Source organism: Homo sapiens, chromosome 1 (assembly GCF_000001405.40).
Source record: "Homo sapiens chromosome 1, GRCh38.p14 Primary Assembly".
NCBI lineage: Eukaryota > Metazoa > Chordata > Mammalia > Primates > Hominidae > Homo > Homo sapiens.
In genome coordinates this window covers 38,715,219-38,740,606 of record NC_000001.11, presented here as the reverse complement: position 1 = coordinate 38,740,606, position 25,388 = coordinate 38,715,219, and the positions used below count along the sequence as shown (strand labels likewise).

The 25,388-nt window shown below is 44.3% G+C and overlaps 1 long non-coding RNA gene across 1 annotated transcript in view, besides 1 other annotated feature; it reads left to right on the top strand.

Moving 5' to 3' along the window:
• Positions 12,052–25,388, top strand: part of LOC105378660 (uncharacterized) — a 35,682-nt gene continuing 22,345 nt past the window's right edge. The window contains exons 1-2 of the long non-coding RNA XR_947213.3: positions 12,052–12,158; positions 13,577–13,648. This is a non-coding gene — a long non-coding RNA (uncharacterized LOC105378660). The remainder of the gene's footprint in view (positions 12,159–13,576; positions 13,649–25,388) is intronic.
• Positions 12,145–13,670: an enhancer, noted in NCBI's record as "VISTA enhancer hs1031". NCBI's record gives its function as "enhancer in: nose[3/10]" and the evidence as "EXISTENCE:transgenic organism evidence [ECO:0001131][PMID:17130149]".

The following is a 25,388-nucleotide window of genomic DNA, read 5'->3' as shown; positions in this document are numbered from 1 at the left end:
ACTTCACATTCACCTTATTTCTTCCCTCATTCATCTTCTGGTCAGGTCATTAGAAACTCCCCGATGCTTCCCCCAACCTCAGCATTCTATTATTTATATATTATACACATTTCTCTACAGAGTCCCTGGAAAATGGTGAAGTGGCCACAGAGGATGGGCTTTCTCCCCTGATGACAGCTTGGGAAATGTTCTTTTCTTTATCCACTGATCCATTTAATCCATTGGGGTTTTAAAACTTCCAACTCTAAATATTTGCCAAAAGGCATGTTCTTGGGGTCCCAGTGAATTTGGGATGGGTCGGTGGGATGGGCCAGTGGCTACAGCTTGGAGGGAGGGTGGGAAGAGGCAGAATGTTTGTTACTCAGCTCCTTTGGGGGCCCTAAGCAGGATTTTTGAATGCTGCCATGTTGATGTGGCCATTTTTGTGGCAAGAGATGTTTTAATGTGGCCATATCAGTGTGATATGGATTAGAAAACCATCATTTAAAGATGTCATTTATCTTCGTTTTTCCTGAAGACAAAATAAATATTTGCTTATTGAAAAAAATTCAAACCTTACAAAAATTATACATTTTGTAGAATGTCCTTTATTATCCTATTACTCCTAGAGATGACAATACTGTAGGTTATAGCCTAGATTTTTTTCTACACAGATATACATATGAGTAAGAATATATAATTATATACAGTTATTTTGTTATAAAATAATGCGAACCACAGACATCTAGGATCCACACTTTATTTCTGACCACTCAGTTTCACTAAACTCAAGGGATGACCACTCAGTTTCACTAAACTCACTAAACTCAAGGGAACTGGGCAGGATGTTCTCCCACTTATAAATGGGAGCTGAAGGATGAGAACACATGGACACATGTGGGGGAACAACACATGCTAGGGCCTGTCAGGGGGGAGGGGGACGGAGAGCATCAGGAAGAATAGCTAATGGATGTTGGGCTTAATACCTAGGTGATGGGTTGATCTGTGTGGCAAATCACAATGGCACATGTTTACCCATATAGCAAACCTGCACATATACTTCACAACTTAAAATAAAAGTTGATGAAAAAAAAAAAAGAATTGGGCAGGGATGCCCACCACCCACTGTGCTGATAATAAAAATGATGACATATTAATGGCTTGGGTTTTAGTCCATGTCAAAATATCCTTTTGTCCAGAGGCCAAGTCAGGAATGTCCCCCTCACCCCGTCTTGCCTCCTACGGGCTCCCTCTGTCTCCTGTGGGCACCAACCTTACTACATGCTTTTTTCTCCATATAGCCTCATGTGACTTTCCATCTCAAGGCCCATCTGTCTCAAATGTCACCTCTTCCAGAGCGGTCCCCTGGATCTCCCCACCCTAGACTCTTCCCATTCGGCTTCCAAAGCTCAGAAAAAGACAAAGCAGAAAGAGGCAAGGTGCCTCTGAGATTTAGCAAAATTGTGAAATTTCACCAGGTCCAACTTTTTTCTTTGAAATTTAGTCCTCCAGACGATGCAACATACACCTTTGTTTCCATGAACTTCAAAGTTGCCCTTTCAGACAGTCTCCTAATATGCAAGGTTAAGATAAATGATATTCGGTCTTGGCTGCAAGGACTAGATTTTTCACCTCTAAGTTTTAGTCCACGCATTGAGGTGTTAATTTAATACATTGAATGGCAGAACAGATGAGCTCACCGCTCAGAGTCTTTTCTCTGGGGGCGAAAAGTATTAACAGCAACAAAAATAAGACAAATGATGCGCAGATCAGTAAGTTTATGAAGTACAGTATCCAACGATTGTGATAGCTGATCCTCTTCCAATAACTCATTGCTTAAATGAGAGACATTTGTTGTCAAGAATTCACAGGATTAGACCATGAACAGTTCTTCTGAGAGGCAGAAAGGGCTCATGTCTACCTCTTTTCCCCGACATTGGTTTGGGCAGTCAGTTACTCTCACTGAGCCTCAACTTCCTCATGGGTAAGACGGGGAATAACTGCTGCTCTGCTACCATCCTAGGGTTCTTGTGAAAGTTGAATGAAGTAATAGAGGCCAAACAGGTGCACAGCAGATATTTGTCTCCCGGGATTGCCTAGTATCCAAATACTCTTTTTATGTGGGGAGTAGGTAGGAGTGAAAGCTCTGCCTCTCATACAGAAATGGAATGGGGTCAGGTACTCGTATGCATGGACATGTGGTGATGCTCAGCCAATCAGCTGCTCTTACCCTGTGCAGTGGCTCTTGGCTGAGTGACACGCAGAGTAGGGGGCGTATTAGAATTCCTCCCAGTGGCTGTGGAGCCAGCAGCTGGAGGTGGTATCCTACCCAGACCCCTCCTGACTTCCCGAGTTTCTACCTGCTTTGGAGCTGGGTTCTCCCCTCGGTGCTGTGAGCTGAAGGATCATCTTGCCTTTGCTGCTTATGCCAGCTACAATTAGCTTCAGCTGTTTGCAATGAGGCGCTCTGGTCCACAGATTCCTTTGTAGGCTGTGCACCTGTGAGGGGGTATTTCTGTGTGTGGGATGTGACACAGTGTTTCCTTCCCTGGAGAGCTTCAGATACAAATACCTGGGCCCTAATACCGTCCTGAGATTCTGAAGCTGCCAATCATGGGGAATTTTGGCCTGTGTGGTTCTTCAAGCTGGAAGGCACTCAGAAGTCATAGTCTTGGTTCTGCCTTGTAATCTGTGCAGGGCACAAAAGCAATGTCTTCTTTTAGGAAATGTACACAGAGGTGTGCATCATCCCTCTCAATTGCGCATCCCAGAGTTCCTCCGAGCTGGTTAACTTGATACATAGAAACCACTCTATGCACAGGGGATATTCCTTACAGCACTGTGTATAATGTAACAATATGGAGACAGGTCTGATTGCCCAAAATGAGGCTAATGGTTAAGTAAGCCACAGCTCAGCTACTTGAAGGAATATTATGCAACTGCTAAAAGTGTGTTTGGGCAGAGGTTTTTAGTAACATGAGAAAATATTTATAAGTTAAACATGCATAACCAAAAAGATATAAGAAAACCTACCAAGATAGGTTTTGGTACAGGTTTTTTTGCAGTGTAGTTTTTTTTTTTTTTTTTTTTTTGAGACGGAGTCTTGCGCTCTGTCACCCAGGCTGGAGTGCAGTGGTGCAATCTCGGCTCACTGCAAGCTCTGCCTCCCAGGTTCACGCCATTTTCCCACCTCAGCGTCCCGAGTAGCTGGGACTACAGGTGCCTGCCACCACGCCCGGCTATTTTTTTGTTTTTGTATTTTTAGTAGAGACGGGGTTTCACCGTGTTAGCCAGGATGGTCTCGATCTCCAGACCTCGTGATCCGCCCACCTCGGCCTCCCAAAGTGCTGGGATTACAGGCATGAGCCACTGCGCCCGGCCTGCAGTGTAGTTTTGTTTTTTACAAAATTCAGCATTCACCTTTTTTCCTTCTTCTTCGTAATGCGTGATTCAGTAAAACTGGTTTGTGTGTACAGAAAATTTCCATCGAGGTAATTATGGGGAAATGTTGACTGATAGGACAGCGACAATTTTAAGGCCAACCAAAATACTTGAAATCATCGTGGGCTAATTACGCCCCCATGGTTTTTTTGCCTCCCGTTGGGTAGCTGCCACTGGTGAATGTGCAGGTGAAATTGTTGTTTGCTGTGAGAGTTGAAAGGCCAGGCTTGCCCTGTGTGGGAGACCATCAGGCTATACAACACACTCCGGTTACTTTATGATTTCTGTATAGAACCTTTTCTTGAAATGAAACAAATGTTTGAATCAAACTCTGTTTTCAAGATAATAATAGAGGCCCCTAGGTAAAACGTAATATCTCTATTTATTAAAAATTATGTATTTCCAGTCAGCTCTTTTTTTAAAAAAATCATAAATAGGTAGAAAACATTTGCTTATTAGTTTGTTCATGCGCTTGTTCATTCATTCACCATGTTACTGAGAACAGAGCTAGGAACACCCTTAATTCACTTGCATCATTTCCTAAGGTCAGAAGCTTCTGGTATTTGTTCAGGCTCAGTCTCAGCTCTTTGAAGCTTTTGGACTCTGGTCTTTGCCAAGGGGTTCCAGTGTTTTTGGTCCATTGAAGGGGATTTATCCTCTCTTCTGCTAGTGCTTGCCTATGAGGGGCAGCTCAGTTAGGTTAGGTTATCTTCACAGAAGCCCTGGCAGAGGATCCCTGCCACACCTACAATGGGGAAGGTCTACCAGTCTCTCCTCTCACTTTGGGTCTACATATTAGGTTCTTTCTAAAGAATAGGAGACCCCTTCTATTTCCATTTCAGTCTGCTCCAGTCTAGCTCATTAAACAGGGATGTATGGCTGACATTTTACCCTGAGTCCAGGCCTGTGTTGGGGGTTGAGGGGACTGTAAAAGAAGTTTAGCACCTCTAAGCATTTTATGGAGGCAAGATAAACATACAAGCAGCAAACTTCTATGAAACCCTCAAAGGACACTGTGTGGCCCCCCATCCTGGCAGCTGTCCCCACTTTGGTTGGTGGTAGTGATTCAATCATTCATTAGTTTATTTTCTCAACAAACTTGCTGTGTGTTGGGTGGGCACTGCATAACAGCCGTGGTATCACAGGAATGAGGAAGACTGAGTCAGAAGCTCACAGTCTTGCATGGGCGATAAGACGTACATAAATAACTAGGTCATCAAATGACAAAATTGTATTCCCTGAATTTCTGCTGATCCTACTTCCTTACTAACTTTTAAAATCTTTTCCTCCCCATCCTCACTACCATTGCTTTTTTCTCTTGGATGATTACATAAGCTTTCGAGCTCATCTTCCTGCCTCCAGTCCAGCTCCCACATTCCCATCAGATGGATTAGTCTACAATCTAGACACGTCATTCCTAGCTCTGAGCCCTCCAGTCTCTATGCAAGATGAGGTGACCTCCACCTCTACTTCCTGGCCAGCTCTCTTGCCGCAAGCTGCCTCACCATTTCTGTGGTATTTGCACTATGTGCCTTTGGGCCCTCTGTCATTCCCTCTGCCAGGGATGCTCTCCCAGCTTGTTCTCCTAAAAGACTCTGTTTGTCCTTTGAGACTCAACTCATGTACCAAATCATCTGGCAAAACTTCCTTGGACTCCTCCACTCCATTCATTTTATTCACTCTTTGATGAGTATTCAGTATGTGTCAGGCATGGTGCCAGGAAGATGAAGGGAAGTGATATGGTTTGAATCTATGTCCCTGCCCAAAACTCATATTGAACTGTAATCCCCAGTATTGGAGTTGGGGCCTGGTGGGAGGTGATTGGATCATGGGGGTAGTTTTTCATGAATGGTTTGGCACCATTCCCCTTGGTACTGTCCTTGTGATAGTAAGTTCTTGTGAGATCTGGTCATTTAAAAATGTGTAGCACCTCCCTGCTCTCTTTCTTATTCCTTCTTTCACCATGTAATGTGCCTACGTGCCTCCTCTCCCTTCACCTTATGCAATGATCATAAGTTTCCTGAGGCCTCCCCAGAAGCCGAGAAGATGCCAGCATCATGCTTCCTGTACAGCCTGCAGAACTATGAGCCAATTAAACCTCTTTTCTTTATAAATTACCCAGTCCCAGATATTTCTTTATAGCAATGCAAAAATGGACTAGGACAGGAAGTAAAACCAATATGGTACCTGACCTTGTTTGTAGAGCTTCAAACTGAGTGATGGAGAGAGATGCTCATTAAACAAGTTTAAAATAAATGTAGGATTACAAACTGTCATAAGCAGGATGAAGAAGAATACAGGGTGCTCTCAGAGAGTATAGCTGTGGCTCCTCTCCCAGAGCATTGTGAAGCAGCTGCAGGTTATTCGTTTCTACTGGGTACTGGCCTCTTGCCCTATGGAGAAGGTCTGACCAAAGGTACAATGGGAATCATTTGGCTTGACCCCGGCTCTGTGTGTTAGGCTAGTTCAGTTGGCTCTGGTTGTGATAATGTAGTCCTTTATTAGATACTTTCTGGAAGATTCTGCCTACCTCATGGTAATCTTCCTGAATTTCCCTCCTCATCCTTGTGCACCAACCCTTATAGTCATGTCTGCATTGTGTTACAGTCCACTTGGTCATGGTTGAAGGTATAGTATGGTATACCTGATCCAAATTTGACAATTCAGTTTCTTTCTCCTCAAAATTTGAGACTCAAAAATTCTAGGACTGGCTGGGATGGTCTGTAGAAAAGAATAGATGGGGACTTGGGAGTAGGGGGTGGCCATTTCTTTCTGTTGTGAACTGAGAAGCAAATGGATGAAAGGAACAGAAAAGAGACCTGCAGCAAGTTCTTTCTTGAGGTCTGGTGCCATTTGTGCCCTTGAGTTCCAAGAAACAGTCTTATATCCTTTTAATGAATTCCCCTTTGCTGCCTCAGCTTAGCTTACGTTGGTTTCTATTTCTTGCAGCTTAAGAATTCTAGCCATACAGATCCCAAACAGCCAATCATCCATGTGAGCAGGTTGAAGAAAAATCCTTCACCCCCGCAAAGGCTTGGATGGAGCTGCTCAAGGCACATCAATCAATGCAGTCAGAGAGACAAGACTGGCAGCTTCTTGGCTGACCTTGAAATGTTTCAGGGGTAGTTTTGGCATCTTGTGTGCCCCAAGTCTACTCCAAAGTGAAATTGCCCAACTGGTTGTTAACAGGCTATTAGTAATTGGTCTGTCTAGTTCTAATGATTGGTTGGTACCTGTGTGTACATGTCCCGCGTTTACTTAGGTGGAACCTCTGGTGTTTTGGGAGTAGTGATTAACCCTGCAGAGTGTATGGTCTTGTTCTAATCTTTGCAGGAGTATTGATGTTAAGTAGACGCATTGTTTGCCAGGTCAAATTTGTCTTTTTCTGTTGCATTTCTTTTTAAAAGCCAAGTTTTTTTTTCTCCTATATCACAAAGAGAATTTTATTTTTCTGATAGGATTTTTTACAGACCTTTAGGATTAAAATTAGCTGCCTTTCACTTCTGGGCTTTACTCTCTTCTTGGGTTAATTTTAGCTAATCAGTGGCAAAATAAGTTGCCTTAAAATCACACTTCCTTCCACAGTCTTAGAAAAATAAATGAAAAAAAGAGACCCTACTTAAGTGGCCTTGTTATTTCTCCTACTTGATTTGCACAGCTTTAGCCTTCCTTCTTTTGTCCATACAAACTGTAACGCAAAGGTCACAAAAATTCCTTGACTTACTGAAATGTGGCTGATAGCATCGTTGAAGCAAACATCGGTCTAACCCACATGTTTCATAGTTCGGAGATTTTCAACTAATAAGAGGAATCAAACACTGTATTTGGGGAAAGATTAAGGTCACTGGCCCTCATTTGAGTTGATTGGTCTCTTGAAATGAGATGTTAATTGTGAAATTGATAGGCAGATTTCCATAAGATTTTACCCCCAATAGTTTGTGTTTATAATTAAAATAATAAAAATGGAAACTGTCCAGTTCAATCAGCATAATCTCCCATCTATTCTCAAGCAACACAACTGGCGTGAGATGCATCTGTGTGTGTGAGTCACATATTCCTTTTACTTTACTTCTGGAGGGAAGGGGAAAAATAAATTGCCTAGAGTCTACATATGTTGACATCTCCACAGAAATTAGAGAACAACCACTACAATGTTGGAATAAAAATGAAAAGAGATAGAGCCACTTTTCTATAAATAATAGAAGATTTTGGATGTTTGCAATTAAGGTTATCACTTGATTCATTCATGCAAGCAATATTTACTGAGTACCTACTTTGTGCTGGCACCGTTGTACTGTAGGTACTAGGGATACGAGGTGAAGATGAGAGTTGGGTTCCAAATCTTACAGAACTTGCATTCTGATAGAAAAGGGTTTTAAGCAGGGGAGTGGTGTGATCTGATGCTGTTTCCAATGGCTGATTACTCTGGCTGCCTTGTGGAACAGGTGCTGGAAGGGGCATGAATAGTTGCAGGAAGACTAATTAGGACACTTGCAGGGGTCCAGGTGAGAGACGATAGTGATTTAGAACTGCTGGTGACAGTGGTGAAGGCAAGAAGTGGTGGATTTAGCACTTCTATTGGAGGTTGAGTGGAAAGAACTTACTGATAGATAAGATGTGGGGGACGAGGAATACAGAGGATTAGATTCCTCCCTCCCCCAGCTGAATTGATGGTGGTACCATGCTGCAGGTGGGAAGACTTGGGGAGGAATTAGGAGTTCCATCTTGAGTACCTTGTCTGTGAGATGCATCCAAATTGATTGACAGGTTGCTAGTTACCTGATTTCCAGAGGGGACTATGGAGCTCAGTACCTGACTAAAGGACGCAGAGTCGTCCTATTTGTGGGGAGCACTAGCAAAATGATTTGCATGCATGACAATATAGAATGGGGAAAAATCTTGGCCAGCTGGTAAATTTGGCAGCACCTGAAAAAAGGAATTCAATAAAGATGAATGAAAGTTTTTAAAACCAAAGATAGAATAGGGATGGGAAGGTGGGGAGGAACATGGGGTTTAGCAGAAGTACTTTGCATTATAAAAGGAGAGGTTTAGGGACAAGTAATATGAAGAGGATGACAAAATGTGTGTGTGTCCTTGAACTGCCTCCATAATAGAGAGAGTCCTGACTTGGGGGTCAGTCAGATCTGGGTTCTAAGTCAGACACCATCGCTTACAAGCTGTATGTCTTCTGGCCAGTTACTGAACCTCTGCACACAAACTCAAAGATTTTTTCTCCCCAAAACATTGAAGTCATTAAGTAAAAACTAATTTGTTTCCCATCTTTTGTTGAGCAAAGATATATCAAGCTGCAGCTTGAAATGTCAGGTCAGCTTGAGAGAGTGTGACCACATGAATTGAAATAATTGCAGCCAAAAGCAAAGGCATTTTTCTTGAGGCACAGGTCTTATCTTGCATGAATGGGTCATTTCAGCTGTGATTTTTAAAACCTTAAGACAAGCTTCTGTACCCTTGAGGCTGTCTTTTCAGTTCCCAGGTTAGGGGCCAATGTGCCATTTCCCAAGAGCATCCCAGGTGAAAATATCTGGGACACTCACTAACCTTGACCACTTCTGTAATTGAGAGGGGATCCAGGGAAACAGAGGTGCACTCTTTCTAAGAATTTAAAGACCTCTACATTTTAGGAAGAGGTATGCAATACTTTCCATGTCTACATTTTAGGAATGGCTGTAGGAAAGGGTATTGGTCATCCCTTCATCTCCATCCATTTTTACATCTCCCTAGGAATGGGAAGAAACTTTCCATTGTGGGAACTAGCTTGGATTATTTCTATGTGATGTTACAGCATCTCGACTTAATTCCAAATCTAGTTGTTTGGTCCACGTAATGCCAAATAATGCTTGATACTTTTGTCCCTGCTTGATTTTACGGGTTGATGGCTAGTACACGGACACAGTCCATGATGAATCAGCCATGTTTCCCAATATGTTTACTACAGGCCAGTGCTTCTCAAATTTCAATGTGAACCACCTGCACATCTTCTTAAAGTGCAGGCTCTGATTCAGCAGGTCTGGGTGGGGCCTGAGAGTCTGCATTTCTGACTAACTGCCAGGCAATGCTGCATCCTGCTTGTCTGGGAATCACACTTTTAGTAGTGAAGTTGCAGAAGCCTAATCTGTTAGTAGAACACAGGTTGCTCAAGAAAAAAGAAGGAGGAAAGGGTCCATGGATAAAGGTCAGGAGTAAATGGCATACCTTACTGGCATCTTAAAGGCCCTGAGAAGTCCTGCAGGTACAAAGAAACTGTTTACTTGTTTTACTTAGGGTCAAATTCATTTGATGATGAAACATTTTTGTTGTTGTTCCCAAGGAAAACCTATTAATGTTCAGTGGAATTAGTTTTCTGTGTATCAGAATTTGAAAACAATTTAGCACGAGAGACACAGATTGTCCTACAACTATGTTGATTGTAAATGGGCCAGTATTCGACTAAGGCAGCCACCTGGGAAAGTGCCAGTGTGTGATGAGTAAAAGCTTGGGATCTGAAGCTGAGTCAAAACCTGAGGTTGAGTCTTGGCTCTCCATTTGGGGTCAGTCAACTTCTCTGAGCCTTGATTTTCTACTGTATAAAATGGGCATAATAAAAGACCCTGTACATGGACACTGTTACTATAGTTGCCTGGATTAGCAAAACAGATGATATTGAGCATCTTGGCTAGAGTGAAAAGTACTCAGGCCAGAAGAAACCCAGGAGAATAGTAATATATGAAGAACAGAAGTTTGAGCAGGAATGATCCCTGGAGACTGATGCAGAACCCTTAATTATAGATTAACTTCACTGCACAGTGGGAAGAATTCACCCAAGACCAAGGACCAATTCACCCAAGCAGCAGAGAGCAGACCAGGACCCAGAACCCTGGTCTGAGCCCACTGCCCTCCAATCCACCTTGCCAGAGCCTCACCAAGTCACCCAAAGAACCCCCTCAGGTTTCCTGTAAGGAGCTACCTTTGTTCCAAACACAGCTTTTTGGGATGAAAACAATCTTCATGCATGAAGTCCAGAATTCACGTGGTTCTTCTGTCAGCACTGTGTTTGAAGCTGTGGGACATAGCAGGAAAAGGAGCAAAGGTTTTGTGCATCAGCACCTTTCCCCTGGAGGAGCCAGGCACGGCATCCCCATCACAGCCTGGTTAGAATCCTTGGGATTACCAGGGCTTCTGTGGAAGCGGTGGTGACCCTCCTACAGAGACAGTGCCTGTGGCATCTGCAGGATGTGGTGCAGCCCGAAGAGATCCTGCAGAGTCAGGGCCAATCTTGCAGAGACTAGGGAGTGCCCCCAGCCCACCAGGGCACTTTTCCTGTGGCAAAGCCTGCTGGGTTTGGGAGCAGGAAGCTGCTGCCAGGTGAGAGGTGGGAGGGGACTGGCTGCCGGAACCCCAGCCTGGTCCTTACCCCCTCTGAATGCAGGCTAAAAGGATGAGAAGCAAATGAATGCCCCGCACTTCTCTAGCCCGTTTTCTTTTTTTCTTTCTTTCTTTCTTTCTTTCTTTCTTTCTTTCTTTCTTTCTTTCTTTCTCTTTCTTTCTTTCTTTTTTCTTTCTTTCTTTCTTTTTCTTTCTTTCTTCCTTCCTTCCTCCCTCCCTCCCTCCCTCTCTCTCTCTCTCTGTCTTTCTTTTTTTTCTTGAGACGGAGTCTCACTCTGTTGCCCAGACTGGAATGCAGTGGCGTGATCTCAGCTCACTGCAACTTCTGCCTCCTGGGTTCAAGCGATTCTCCTGCCTTGGCCTCCCATGTAGCCGGGATTACATGCGTGTGCCACCATGCCCGGCTAATTTTTGTATTTTTAGTAGAGACGGGGTTTTGCCATGTTCTGGTCTCTAACTCCTGACCTCAGGTGACCTGCCCGCCTCGGCCTCCCAAAGTGCTGGGATTACAGATAGGAGCCACTGCGCCCAGCTGTTCTGGCCTGTTTTCTATGTTGAGCCTTAGAATAGCCATGAAAGGCACCTCAAATTATCAACATTCCTATCTGAGGGGGGAAAAGAGGCTCCAAGAGCAGGATGACCTGTCCAGGGTGCTACGGGCTCGGACTTGACGCCCAGGTCCCTTTGTACTCCACCTCTTAAGCCCCAGCCTTGTCTTCACACAGTCATCTTCAGACAACCCAAGTGGGTGCATTTGCCGTGATAGCTGAGAGCTGTTACCTCCTAGCTAATTTCCTAAACACTATCTATTCCTCACCCTCTCACTCTGGGTGGGAAGGCAGAGTCCAGGGAGCATAGATGAGGTGCTAGGGTGGACAGAAGGAAACCTGGGGTCTTGGGACAAAAGGACAATCCAGGAAAAAAAACCTCAGCAATGTCCTAATCACATGATGCTAACATGGGAGGGAGCTTACAAAGTTCTTTCACATCCATTCCTCGGTTCTTATAACAGCCTCATGAGTGGGCAGGGCAGGGTTTATAATTCTCTTTTTACAAGTGAAGGAACTCAGGCTCAGAGCTGGCAGGACTTGTCTCCAAGTTCTCAGGGGAGTCTGGATTAGAACCCAGGGCTCTGGATTGGCCCAAGCCACCCCAGGAACTAGACTAGAGGCTACCACTGTTTGGCCCACACCCCTTTACCACTGCCACACCCAGGAAAAACAAGGTCCCGTAGAACAGCCGTGTAGCACCATTCAGAACTGCCCTCTGCCCCGTGCCAAGCAGAAAAAGTGTGAGGTCTGCGAGTCATCCTGCTACAGCCGGAGACTCAGCCTGAACCAGTCAGCGTGAATGTGGTATGTGTGTGTGTAGGGGTGGGAGTGGGGGCTGGAGGGGAGGCAGAAAGAACCGCGGGCTCCATGCCCAGTCTCCACGATTTCCCAGGAGGGAAGCAGGCCTCCAGGCAGAAAGCCAGGAGTGTCCCTCATTGCTCCAGCAAATGGGTCCTGGAGGAGTCATCCCACGTCCCTGCTGCTGATGGGTAGCGTGGGGGTGAGGAGAAAGGGCATGGCTGTGCCCCCCAAGGACTCCAGCTGAATCCGGGAGGAAGTCCGCTTATTTATCTTATTTCCTGTACACCATTTTGATTTATTTTCCTGGTCTGGAGAAAGAGCTGTAGCATAAACTAAGGCTCCATTCTAGGGGGCCTGTTGGCTCCTTGGAGTCTGTAATTGGGACATTGAAAGGAAAAAAAAAAAAGAAAAGAAAAGAAAAGAAAAAAAAACAAGCCCGCAGAGGAGTGGATGATCTTTTATACTTAAAGTTCCCCCCTCTATAAAAGCGACATATTACAAACCTCTTTCTCCTCTCGAACATTTCTTGCTAAGTGCATTCTGATGCCACATTGAAACGCAAAATAGCTGGAATCAAGCAGGCACCGAAGGCTATTTATATGCTAATCTTTATTTCCCAAGCTGAAGCAGGAACCTCGAGCTTGGTGCTGCTTCTAATGATGGCTCGGCTTTAACCTCTCTGGAAGAAAGAAAAGTATTTTCCTTAAGAAAACAACTCAGTTTCTTTAAGATGAAATGTAATTATCTATTATCAGATGTCCCTTAAAATGCAAGGCCTATTAAAGCTGCTAAAAATATTGAAGCCCTAATTTCACCATAATAGCATTTTAATTTCAGCAAATCACGCTTCTATTGTTACAGGACATTTTGCGGTAGGAATGTGGTAAGAGGTCCATCTTAGCTTTTTTCTTAACATTTTCCTTTCTTTGAGAAGTACAATTAAATCATTGCAATCATCTAACCTTGCTCGACACAAAATTTTACTTATCAAATGTGAAAACAATGGTCATTAGCATTTAAAAGAATTTGTTTTAAAAGTAGCTAAAGTTTAATTGCTTTAAATATTCTTGTCGGAATATGCAGCCGGCTGTTGGTTCAACGTTCTTATTAAAGAGGGACGGTGTTTAATTAATCGCTGAATTTCATTGAAAAATATTTACTTTATTTCTGGGTGAAGTATAAAAGAGACGTCTTGCTGGACCCTCAAGGAGGAACAGATTTGAGGGAGGTGAATGCTTTGTAGGGAGTTGCTGGCAGAGTGACCCAGGTACAGTGCTCACCTCTGGATTGGATGCATTTTGGGGAACTTTTCCCATGAAAGTTTCTGAAGCAAACCTCACCAATCCCCTTTTTAATAGGCATCAATGGGAAGCATCTGTGGCTCCCTGCAAAATGCTAGAATGTGTATTTTTGTTTTTCAGAGACCCTGCGAACATGGAGGCCGGTAAAGAGGGGGAATTTCATGCGGAGAAGAGCAGCCTGTTCACTTCTAAGTGGGTTCACCTTTTAACATGGGTTAAAGTGTAACTGTGACCCTGGTAATCAGTACTGCTTGTTGAGCACTCGCTGTACACCAGGCACTATGTTGAGTTTTTTAAATGCATAATTTCCCTTAATCTTCACAACAGTCTTATGGTGGGGGGATATTGCCTCCATTTTCCAAATTTGGAAACTGACACCCACAGCGGTTAATTTGTCCAAGCTTATGTGGCCAGCAGGAGGCAGAACCCCAATTAATCTGAGATCTATCTGGCTATAACCTCCGTGCTATGCTGCCTCCTACCCATTTCTGCTTCCAGAGACCACCTTAACTCTGGCCTCCAGTCCAAATCCGGTTCCAGACAGCTCCCCTGGCTCCATGCTACTTCCTTGCTGCCACCTTTGCCTTGGGGCCCTCTGGACCCATGTACACATGGAATTTGAAAAGTCTCACCATTCTTTCCCTCTTTGGGACTCAGTTTCCTACCCATAAAATTAGGAACTTGGATGACCCAGTCTTCAAGAGCTTTTCTAGGTCCAAGGTCCTCTGGATTCAGTTCAAGTCTACAGAATGGCACTGAGCACTGTGTGGGCCTTGGGCGTGCAGAGATGGTGAAATGGGTCCCTGTCTTCTAGATGAACGCCAGCACTGCCAGCTCAATATTGCCAGCTGTCCTTCTGTATGTGTGGTCAGGCTGGACAATTGTGATGGCACCCTGCACAGCAAGGGTAGAGTCCTTTAGGGCTGCAGGACAATCTGAGATTTCACTTGATTTTCCCTTTGTTTGCTGGACAAACTCCTACTTCTTTTTAAATAAGCAGCTCAAGAGTTACTTCTTCTGGGGAGATGTTTTGGCTCCTTTTCAAGCCCAGATTCCCATGACCCTTCTAGTCTTTCTCTTATAGCATCTACTCCTGCAATAGAGAAATAAGTATATAGCCTTGTTTAGATTCCTGGCCCCACTGCTTACCAGTGTATGATCTCAGGGCCTGTTTCCTTGTCCATGCAGTACAGTGATAATGGTGTCTATCTTTCTCTCTGGTTGTGTAAGTCCTAAATGAGAGTTGTATAAAGCTCCTAGAACTGTGCTTACAAAGCATTACTTATGTTTGAAATGCTTGTTCCCCGGTGCCCTAAAGAAATGGCACTTGAACATAAATTTAATGTTACTCAGCAAGGCCATTTTTGCTTCCTGCAGAAAGGATACACTCGCCAGCAGTTTTGCCATGAGAGTACCCCTAACAAAGGAGACAGGGTAATTTATAACCTGACGCGTCCACCCTACTGCTGTGTCCAGTTTCCATTGGCTGGAACAGGACCTCACATTCTGTGTTTGTCCCGATTGGCTAGCAACTTGAACTTTTTAAGAGAGGCAAAGGCAGAGGAGAACAAAGGAAGGAGGAAGTAACTTGTGCAATGCTGGGAAAGGTAAAAAAAAAACACCTTCAAATAAGGAAGAGGAACAGGCTACGACCTAATGTTTGCTTGGACCAGTATAAGCATGCCAGGGCAAATATTTAGGCTAAATTGTGGGAGCTAAGAACGTAAAGTACATTGATTTCTTTATCACGGCTGGCAGATATTTAAGACTGTTAGCACAGGTCTTTGAATACATTTTGCTTCTAAAAGAAGTTACTATTTATTCCTCATTAAATGGGGAGGAAAGTCTTTGAAGAGGAACCTCTACTTTACTTTTTACACTTATTATTAATATAGTAAAGGTTCTTATTGATAGGTGTGCGTTCCAGCCAGGCTGTGTGCTCTGCCAGGTCTGGTACCACAGGAGTGTCACCTTTATATCCCTGTGTCTAGCACAGCAACTGCTGCATAGCAGAAAGCACTCTATAGTGGCCAAGAACACTTGGCCATTTTATGCCACCTACTGGCTGTGTGACCTTGGGTAGGTTCCATGACCTCTCTGGCCTTCTGTTTCTTCATTTGTAAATGGGCATAATTACAGTTCCCTGACTGTGCAATTATTGGGAGAGTGAAATGAGGCCAAGCTGGTAAAGTGAAGTCTTGCTCAGAGCACCTGTAAGAGTTCAACCCATCATGTCTATCAGGTTACCAGACTCTCATTAATAACTGACATCTGTATTCCACTCTCACATTCTTATCTCATTTAATCCTCACAACAGCTCTGGGAGGGGCCTCCGTTATCGTCTCTGTTTCTCCAAGATTTTACAGCTGGTAAGAGGTAGGTCGCCTGACCTCACATCCCAGCCTGCATTTCTTACCCCATGACATCTGCTCATATCGTGAAGGTAGACAGATGAGGGAATGACGCTCAAGTAGTCCAAATAGTCTTCCATAAAAGTTAGGTGAGGCTTGGGCTCCTGGCTTGTTAGGAATTCCAGCTAAATTGATTTCATAATGGTGGGTCCTGAAGTGACACCTCCAACAGGAAGCTGCCCTTGGCTTTTTATACTCTTCAGGGGCTGTTATAAATTTGATTATATCTGAAATAGCAGATTTCAAGTTGAAGTCCCCTTTGTCCACTCTGGAATTCAGATTTATTTCTGAGAGACCAGTGCAATTTTCTTATCTTTGTTACAAATTACTACAGTCTGGGTTAATCTCACGCAGCAATAAAGCTGTTTGCCTAGGAAGCTTCCTGCAGTGTCAGAGCTGATGAATGGCTCCCTCTGGCTATAATAATTCAGTCTAGAACATTGAAAAAAGTACCAACTTGGTTCTTCTGCAGGAAACTCCACCGCATGCTTGGCTGCTTAGATTGTTGGGGATCAGAGACTCTCACCTGGGTTAAGGCATTGGCACCTTAAACCCATGAGATCTGAGGGGCCCCATGATGAAATGGCAGGCAGCATCGCCCCTCTACTTTGTAAAGAAGGCAGACCTGTCTGGAGTTTTCTGAGTATGGCTGTAGATCTACAGTAGAAGCCAGAGCAGGCAGAGGGGACAGACTGAATGATTTCAGGACAAGGAAGTGAGTGGGCTGGCCTCAGAAGCAGAGAAGAATGCACTGTGGGTGAAGGGGCAGAGGACTTGTATTTCATTCATTCAACAATGACTGTAGTTTTAAAAATCTAACATGCACACTGATTAGACAATACACTGTTGATTTAATATGAAAACTTACTGGGGGGCAGGAGGAATGAAACACAACCACTTTCAATGTGCACATTGATTTTAAGACCCAATGTTGTGGTCCTAGGAGGCATTCTAGGGAGATTGAGATCTGAAGGATGGGAAGAGATGGTCAGGGTGTGTGTGTGAGAGAGATATCTAAGTAGCTGGGAGGAAGAGTATTCAGGCAGAGAGACTAGCATGCCCGAAGATATTGAGACAAGAAGACTTGCTCAAAAAACTGAAAGAAGGCCAGTGTGACTTTGGGGGTAAGGGGTGTGGAGAGATAAAGCTGGGGGTCAGCAGGGTACATCACATGAAGGACCTTACAGCCTGGCTAAAGAGTTTAGATTTATTCTGAGGACAATAAATTCCTCAGAAAGGTTTTAAACAGTAGATCAATATATTCTGTATTTAGGGTACATAGGAGGTGTGATGGTTAATATCAAGTGTCAACTTGATTGGATTGAAGGATGCAAAGTATTGTTCCTGGGTTTGTCTGTGCGGGTGTTGCCACAGGAGATTAACATTCGGATCAGTGAACTGGGAGACGCAGACCCACCCTCAATCTGGGTGGGCACCATCTAATCAGCTGCCAGCGTGGTTAGGATAAAAGCGGGCAGAGGAATGTGGAAGGACTAGGCTGGCTGAGTCTTTTGGCCTCCATCTTTCTCCTGTGCTGGATGCTTCCTGCCTTCGAACATCAAACTCCAAGCTTTGAACATCAGACTCTTCAGCTTTTGAACTCTTGTACTTACACCAGTGGTTTGCCAGGGGCTCCTGGGTCTTCAGTCACAGAATGAAGGCTGTGCTGTTGGCTTCCCTACTTTTGAGGTTTTGGGACTTGGACTGGCTTCTTTGCTCCTCAGCTTGCAGACGGCCTATTGTGGGACTTCACCTTGTGAGTCAATACTCCTTAATAACCTCCCATTCATATATACATCTATCCTATTAGTCCTGTCCCTCTAGAGAACCCTGACTAATACAGGAGGCAAAGCAATATGAGACTGAAAAGACAGCTGTGTCACGGGGAATGCTGGTGGGAAAAGGTGACTTACACAACCTGTGCCCATCCGGGGACAAGCATTGGCTTACTGGGCTTTAGGAGGTACTTCAACAAGAGGCGCTTAGATGACAACGCTAGAGTTAAGAGATAGCACATGTCTTTTTGATTCTGTAAGTCCGAATTCACCTCTTCTGAGTGTCCATCTTTCTAAGCTGGCAAGATCAAGTCTTCAAATGGGTTTCTGTTCCTTGCCTTCCCTCCACTACTGAGTACTAGAAACATTCTGGAGGGTCTTACCCAGTCCGCTCTGGTCTGAGTCCATGCCGGTCACCGTGTTTAGAAGGTGGGGAACCCCTCAGCCCTTGTGCTACGCTTGGCCACAGGGGTCTTTTCATGTAGATCTGAAGGCGGCAGATAGTAGTATTTAATTACCTTCTCCCCCTGCCCCATCACAGCAAGTCCTCATCATGGGTACCATGTGCCATTTGGTCTCTGTCCCACTTGGAAACTTCCAAGAACCCTATCCTTCCACTTCCTCTTCTCCCTAATGGCTTGGTCATTTTGATTCATTCCATTCTAAGCATTCGCTTCCATCCTTTCTGAGATAATTTAGTGAATAAAAGGAGGAGTGGGTTATCTTTTCCTGCCTAGGAATTTCAGCTTTCATCCCTTCAACACCAAAACCTTCAAGCCATTGAGATAAGAGAGCCCAAAGCCCTGGCCTTCCTCTCCCTTCTTCTCTTTTGACTTCAAGGATACTCTAGAGTTGTTTTTTAGCTGATAGAGTACTTTGCTGTGAAATGAGCTGAGCAACAAGGAGATGGCATTAAATTTCCATTCATCTATCCACCCACCCATCCACCCACCACTTTGAGCAGAAGCAAAGGGCTTTTAAGGATAGTGTTTCTTTGACAACTGCCCACTTCTGAGAATGGGCTACCACGGCCCTGTTTCCCCACTAGGCTGTCTATTGTCTGAAAAAAAACAATGTCCCAAACCAACATACTATAATGTTAAAAACCTGGGCTCTGTGCCGGGCGTGGTGGCTTACGCCTGTAATCCCAGCACTTTGGGAGGCCTAGACGGGTGGATCACGAGGTTAGGAGATCGAGACCATCTTGGCCAACATGGTGAAACCCCGTCTCTACTAAAATACAAAGAGTTCACCAGGCATGGTGGTGCGTACCTGTAGTCCCAGCTGCTTGGGAGGCTGAGGCAGGGGAATTGCTTGAACCCGGAGGTGGAGGTTGCAGTGAGCCTGAGCCAAGATCACGCCATTGCATTCCAGCCTGGCGACAGAGCAAGACTCCGTCTCAAAAAAACTAACAAACACACACACAAAAACAACAAAAAACAACAAAACCAAAAAACCTGGGCTGTGGAGTCAGACTCCCTGGGTTCAATGTCCTGGCTTCATCACTTACCAGCTGTGTCAATTTAGCCACACAAATCCGAGTTTTGTTATGGTGTTTACCTTATCTGTAAAATGAGGCTGTTAGCAGCACCTACCTCAAAGGCTGGTAAGGATTAAAATGAGTTAATACACGTAAGCTTTTAGAGCTTGTACTTAGGAAGGGCTCCACAAATGTTTGCTATTGTAAATACCCATGGACCCAAGTGGACATCTGACACCAGCTGGGTCAATTCGATTCTCTCTCTTCTCCCTGAAATTTGGAATCAAGACTGGAGTGAGGCTGGGTCACTCAAAACTGCAGACTTGAATAGATCTTGTAGGGAGGTTGTTCCAGGCTCAAAGATGTTGTTCTGCAGAGGAGAAAGAAAAATGAATGTCTAGATGGGAGATAGAAGTGGGCAGGGGTATGAGGAAGGGAGAGAGGGGATAGGGAGGCAAAGAGAGAAAAGGAGGAAGAGGAAAAGGAGGAGAGGAAAGAGGAGAGGAGAGAGGCTTAAGGATGCTTAAGTGCTTGGGTTCCTGATCTTGGTCCTGCTCATAGTGGTCAGGGCTCACCTGCATCCAGGTAAATCCCCATTTGCTTAATTGCTTTTTGCTTCATGTACTTTGGAGTGGATTTCTGAGCAGGAGTGAAGGAAACAAAGGTAAGGCAAGCAGATCATATGCCTGCCCTCAAGGAATTTGCCATCTAGCAAGTGAGTATGGGAGATAAGACAAGTTTGCAGCTGACCAGAAAATGAGTGTGGATGGGGCTGTGAGAGAATGAAGGACTATGGCAATCAGGGAAGTCATCTATTAGGGCTGGATGGCAGACGGCTTGTCAGAGGAGCGAATCATGGCATTAGGTCTTGGAGGATGAATTTTGTCTAAACTCCCCTCATGGAGCTAAGCCATGACTATGGCTTCCAGCCACAACACCCTATTGGGGCTTTGGATGGGAAACAGCTAGACCCTGAGAAAGATTCTCAAAGTAAGATTTCCTGGCGAGGCACAGCATCCCCTGCCCCACAGTGTGTTAGGGCTCTTCAATCTGACAAGGCACTGATTAGCATTCTGGGGTTCTGGATGGAGGTGGTCTTATTTTTATTAGCATCTTTTTTTTTTTTTTAATCTCAAAGAGTGTTAAGAGTATGCTCTAAGAGGGAAACTTTATAATTTAAACACTCTCTCCACCTACCCTGACATTTTGAGTATTAAGTTTAATGAGAAGGCCTGGGGAGCCAGCAGAGAGTTCCGTGAAGCAAGCTCATCCTGCAGTCAGATCAGCCACCCGGTGTGGCCAGACTGACAGTTCATGAACCCAGTGGGACAAGTTGCTGTTTCCCGTATCCATTCTGAGTGAAACTTCCCACTTCCGGACGTTTGCCTGTGCTGTTCCCGCTACCCTGTCCTCCTCCCCCATATGTCTACCACCAGAACACAACCCGTTCTTCAATGCCCATGGTGAATGGGCCTCCTCCATAATGTGCATTTTCCATAATGGTTTTTTTTTGCTCTCCTGATTCCCAGATGTGGTTTGGCTCTGCCCTGAGCTCCCTCAGTTTGGACCTCTTGGGCAGCATTACCTCATTCTGAGTTTTTGTTTGTTTGTTTGTTTTTTTGTTTTTTGTTTTTTTTTTTTTTTGAGAAGGAGTCTCCCTCTGTCGCCCAGGCTGGAGTGCAGTGGCGCAATCTCGGCTCACTGCAAGCTCCGCCTCCTCGGTTCACGCCATTCTCCCGCCTCAGCCTCCCGAGTAGCTGGGACTACAGGAGCCCGCCATCATGCCCGGCTAATTTTTTGTATTTTAAGTAGAGGCGGGGTTTCACCGTGTTAGCCAGGATGGTCTCGATCTCCTGACGTCGTGATCCGCCCGCCTCAGCCTCCCAAAGTGCTGGGATTACAGGCGTGAGCCACCGCGCCCGGCCTCAGTCTGGGTTTTACTGTAACACTAAGCACTTGTTTTATTCTTACTTATTTATCCCCTCCCAGACTGGGACCTCTTCAAGGACAAGACCCATGGTTTATTCTTTCTTGCATCCCCAGAACCTCCATAAATGTTTATTGACTGTGTAATAACACTTCTTAATGCTTTAAAGTTATTGATAAACTACAACCAGAAACATGTGGTGCTAATCATTTGCCAGGAATTGGACTAAGATAAATGATTTCATGGAATTCTAATGCCAGTCCTGTAGGTAGGTGGTATTATCCCCACTTTACAGATGAGAAGACTGGATGGGGCTAGAGAGAATTAAGTAAGGCACCATAGCTCATGGAATAGCAGAATTTTATTTTCAACTCCAGCCTAAATCCAAAGCTTTTAACTCTTAAAAATGATGATACTGACTCCCTTCTCTAAGAACCCACAAAAAAGCAAATTAGAACAACAAAGAGGTCTTTTTAAAATTAGGCTATGAAATGAGGATAAAAAGAGATCATCAATGTTGACAGTGTTGCATTGAACCGGATACTCTCCTATGCTTGCGGCATTGATGCTTAGTCAAAAAAACCAGTCACTCCCTTTGACCCAAATATGGCATATATGTTGAAAATTTACCTTAAGGAAAAATCCCAAATATTGGGGAAGAAAACAGTAAATACAAAGATGTTCATTGCAGCATTACTTATGATAGTGAAATACTCGTTAATAGAACACCTAAGTAAATTATGGCCAAAATCCATGGAATATTAGGCAGGATTAAAATCATAGTTATTTAGGTTGTGTATGATGCCAAAAAAAGTTTAGGATATAATATTAGGCCACAAAAAATTGGATATACAATTGTGAGTGTGCCATGGTTACAATGAGGTGAAAGCTAGAGCTTCGGGGAGAAGAAACACACCAAGAATGCTAATAGCAATTGTGTCAGGATGAATGAATTATGGCTTGTTTTTGTTTCTTTTTTCCCCTATTTTTCAAATTTTCTGTAACATAGTTATATATTTTTATTATGAAAATGATGTATTTTTTTTAAAAAAAGCTGATGAATAATTCTACAGCTGAACTTTATTAGCAGCCAAAGGCGACCTTGTCTAAAGAAGATGTCCTCCAGGCCTTAGATCAATGCCAGGGGCGCAGGGCAGCATGTGGCTCACACCCTGGGGTTGTGGAGACGGTGGACACCTGCATATGTGTCCTGTTACGCTGGAGAACTGCTAACATGGGGCTGACCTAGGGTCCTGAAGATGCTGCCTACCAGGGGGCTAACCTAGCTTTCCGGGTAACATAAGCACTCAGACCTCCTTTTCCGCTGGAGGCATCCCTGCTCCACGCATTGCTGTGTCTCCCACGCTTCGATTGTTGTAGCCAAGAGCTGAGGAGCAAGTTCAGAAGCTCAGGGATGCAAAAAGCTGGATAAAGCATCTTCAGGTAGTAAAACCCCCTCTTTTTGATTACAAACAAAAACAACAGGTGAGAGATGACACTAAGGATGTGATGGATGGTTTGGAACATTTTTTAATCTGCCCAGTTAGTTGATGCTTGCTCTGTGGGTTTTGACTGCCTTCCAGGCTAGTTTGGGCTGTGTTGTTTCTCGCTTTCAGCTGTTCTCAGTTCTTCCTCAGCGTGCAAGCTCCTTGAATAGTTAAGAACAAGGTGAAGGAAATGGGTTTATGAAAACTGCCTCTGATTGCCATCAGGTGTGAGGTTGTTGACCATTCCTCACTGAGTGGGGCTGGGACCTATGCTCCTCTCTGGTTTGAATCCTGTTGTAGCTACTTACTAATTGTGGCTAAATTATTTGGGCAGATTCTTTCATCTTTTTTGAGCCTCAGTTTCCTTATCTGTAAAGTGGATGAGAAGGATAATTCCTGCTTCAGAGGTTTGTGGTGAAGTTAAATGAATTGAGATGTATCAAACACATAGTGCAGAGTTGGCTTGAGTGTGCTTCTTAGTGCTTGATAATGCTAGCCCTTGTTATTATTGTTTCATGATCATTCCTTCCCTTGGGTTCCCAGCTGAGACAGATGGGCTTTTCCTTTACTAAGAACTTTACCGACTGTAATCCTAGCACTTTGGGAGGCTGAGGTGGGTGGATCACCTGAGGTCAGGAGTTTGAGAACAGCCTGGCCAACATGGTGAAACCCTGTCTCTACTAAAAATACAAAAATTAGCTGGGCATGGTGGCGCATGCCTGTAGTCCCAGCTACTCAGGAAGCTGAGGCAGGAGAATCGCTTGAATCCAGGAGGTGGAGGTTGCAATGAGCTGAGATAAAAAACAAAAACAAAAACAAAAAAAACCAAAACTTTACTAAGGGAGAAAGAAAAGGAAATGGTAGCAGAAGATACAAAATGATCCAAAGACTTCCTATGCCCTTTATGTTTCTGAGCCTCAGACCTTGTCCCTGAAGAAATTCTCTTTCCCCAAATCACTAGGTTTTTCCAGAACTTTGATCTGGCTTCTGTTGCTACCCTCCTGGACTGTCTTCATATTAAAGATACTTTCTTATTTCCCACCCAGAATAGTTGATCCCTGGCATTGCCCCCTTCCTGCCAAGGTCTCAAGACCAAAATGTATTACACACAAGTCACTCTAAGTGCAATACATACCATTTCTAATTGAATTCTCACAGTCTTTGAGGTAGTATTATTATTTTTATTTCAAAGAAAGGGAGGCTCAGAGTAGATAAAGAACTTTCCCAAAGTCACATTGCTAGTAAGAGGCAGAGCAAAGATTCTTATCTAGGCCCAGATGATCATGATCCCATGTTCTTAATCATCACAGCTGTGAGATATTAAAATTAATACCTACTGCCCAGGAGGTTGTAGTAGGGATTATTAATGAATATGAAAAAGTACATTGTAACTTCTAATGTGCTAGGCAAATACAATGGTGTAATAATGTATAACAACATAAACAAGAAGTGCAACTTGTGGTTATAAGCTTGTGTTCAAATCTACTCTGTCACTTATTAACCCTTAATCATTGAGTGACCTTTGGTAAAACACTGAGTGTTTCTAAGATTCAGTTTATTTTTTTTTCTATAAAACAGGATGGGGTTATGATGACAGTTAAATTTGGTAAGCCCTTAAAACAATGTCTGGCACATAATCGACAATAAGTAAACTCTAGAATGTGAACTCCACACTGGCAGAGAGTACTGGCTGCTTTGTTAATTATTTGTGACCAGCACCTGGCACGTACTATGTGCTCAGTCAGTCTCTGCTGCATGAATGCATGGTGAAGGTCCTAGTTTTTGTAGCCATAATGTCTCCAGTGTGGCCATTCTCTTTCCAGGGACATCAGCTGTGTTGGATTTTTATGGATGACAAGCCTGGCTCTGTCAGTGGCAAATAATTTGATGAATGGATCTGGACAGCAACTAGATACCATGACTTGAGTGGCCTGATCCAGAGGCAAGACCTAAGAACAGTCATATTGGCACCCCTTGAGTTGCTTCTACCTGAGATTTCATCATTTTTCCTGTGAGGAAAGTCCGTCCAGGCCTAATTGGAGTTGCTTGTCAAATTTATTGGCTAGAGTCAAAGGGAAGACCCTTATTAAATTAGGATTCTACAGGGCTGGAGAGACCACTGGGGCTTGGACCATCCTGTGGCCCTACATGGGGCCTCCTATCCCACCCCTTCCTAATAAGAGGCCAGGAGTAGTTAGAATTCAATTACACCCTGGTGAAGAGAGTCTTCCAGGCAGAGCTGGGGCAGGCCCGTGTCTGGGCTGAACAGAACAACCGATTTAAGCTAAATCAACGCCTACTTAAGTGAGCCGTAATAAGCATTCTGGGGGCAACGCCAGCCTGGGGGCATCATTTATCACTGGGTAATAGAAAACTGTAATGAATAATAACTTGGGCCCAGCAGCCGGAGCGTGCATATATTATGGGGTTCGAGCTGCCGCTGTCCACCAAGCTGGGAGGGTGGGTCTGAAGCCAGGGTGGCGGGGTTTGCATATTGAATTCTGCTGCTGTGCAGGAAGGCCTTTGTTGTACAGAAAAGCCATTAATCTCATACCTGCTTTGCCAGTCTGCAGTTGGTGTGGTGAACACATGGCCTATTTTCTTGTATTGCACCAAGAGGGAACAAGATACCCCCAGGAGAAAACCTGCTCTAGAGAGATGGTTTTGGCCTCTGCCTTGGTCAATGTATGAGAACATAGACCTCAAGTCAGCTCCCCTCTGAGGCCTGATCCCAGGGTGTGTTCGTTTTCTCATCAGGCCTTGTCAAGCAGCACAGTTTGAGTACCAGCAGTGCCCAGAGTTCTGTGCTAGCTAATGGTGGGGTCTGGGGATAGCATAAGGTGGGCCTGTGA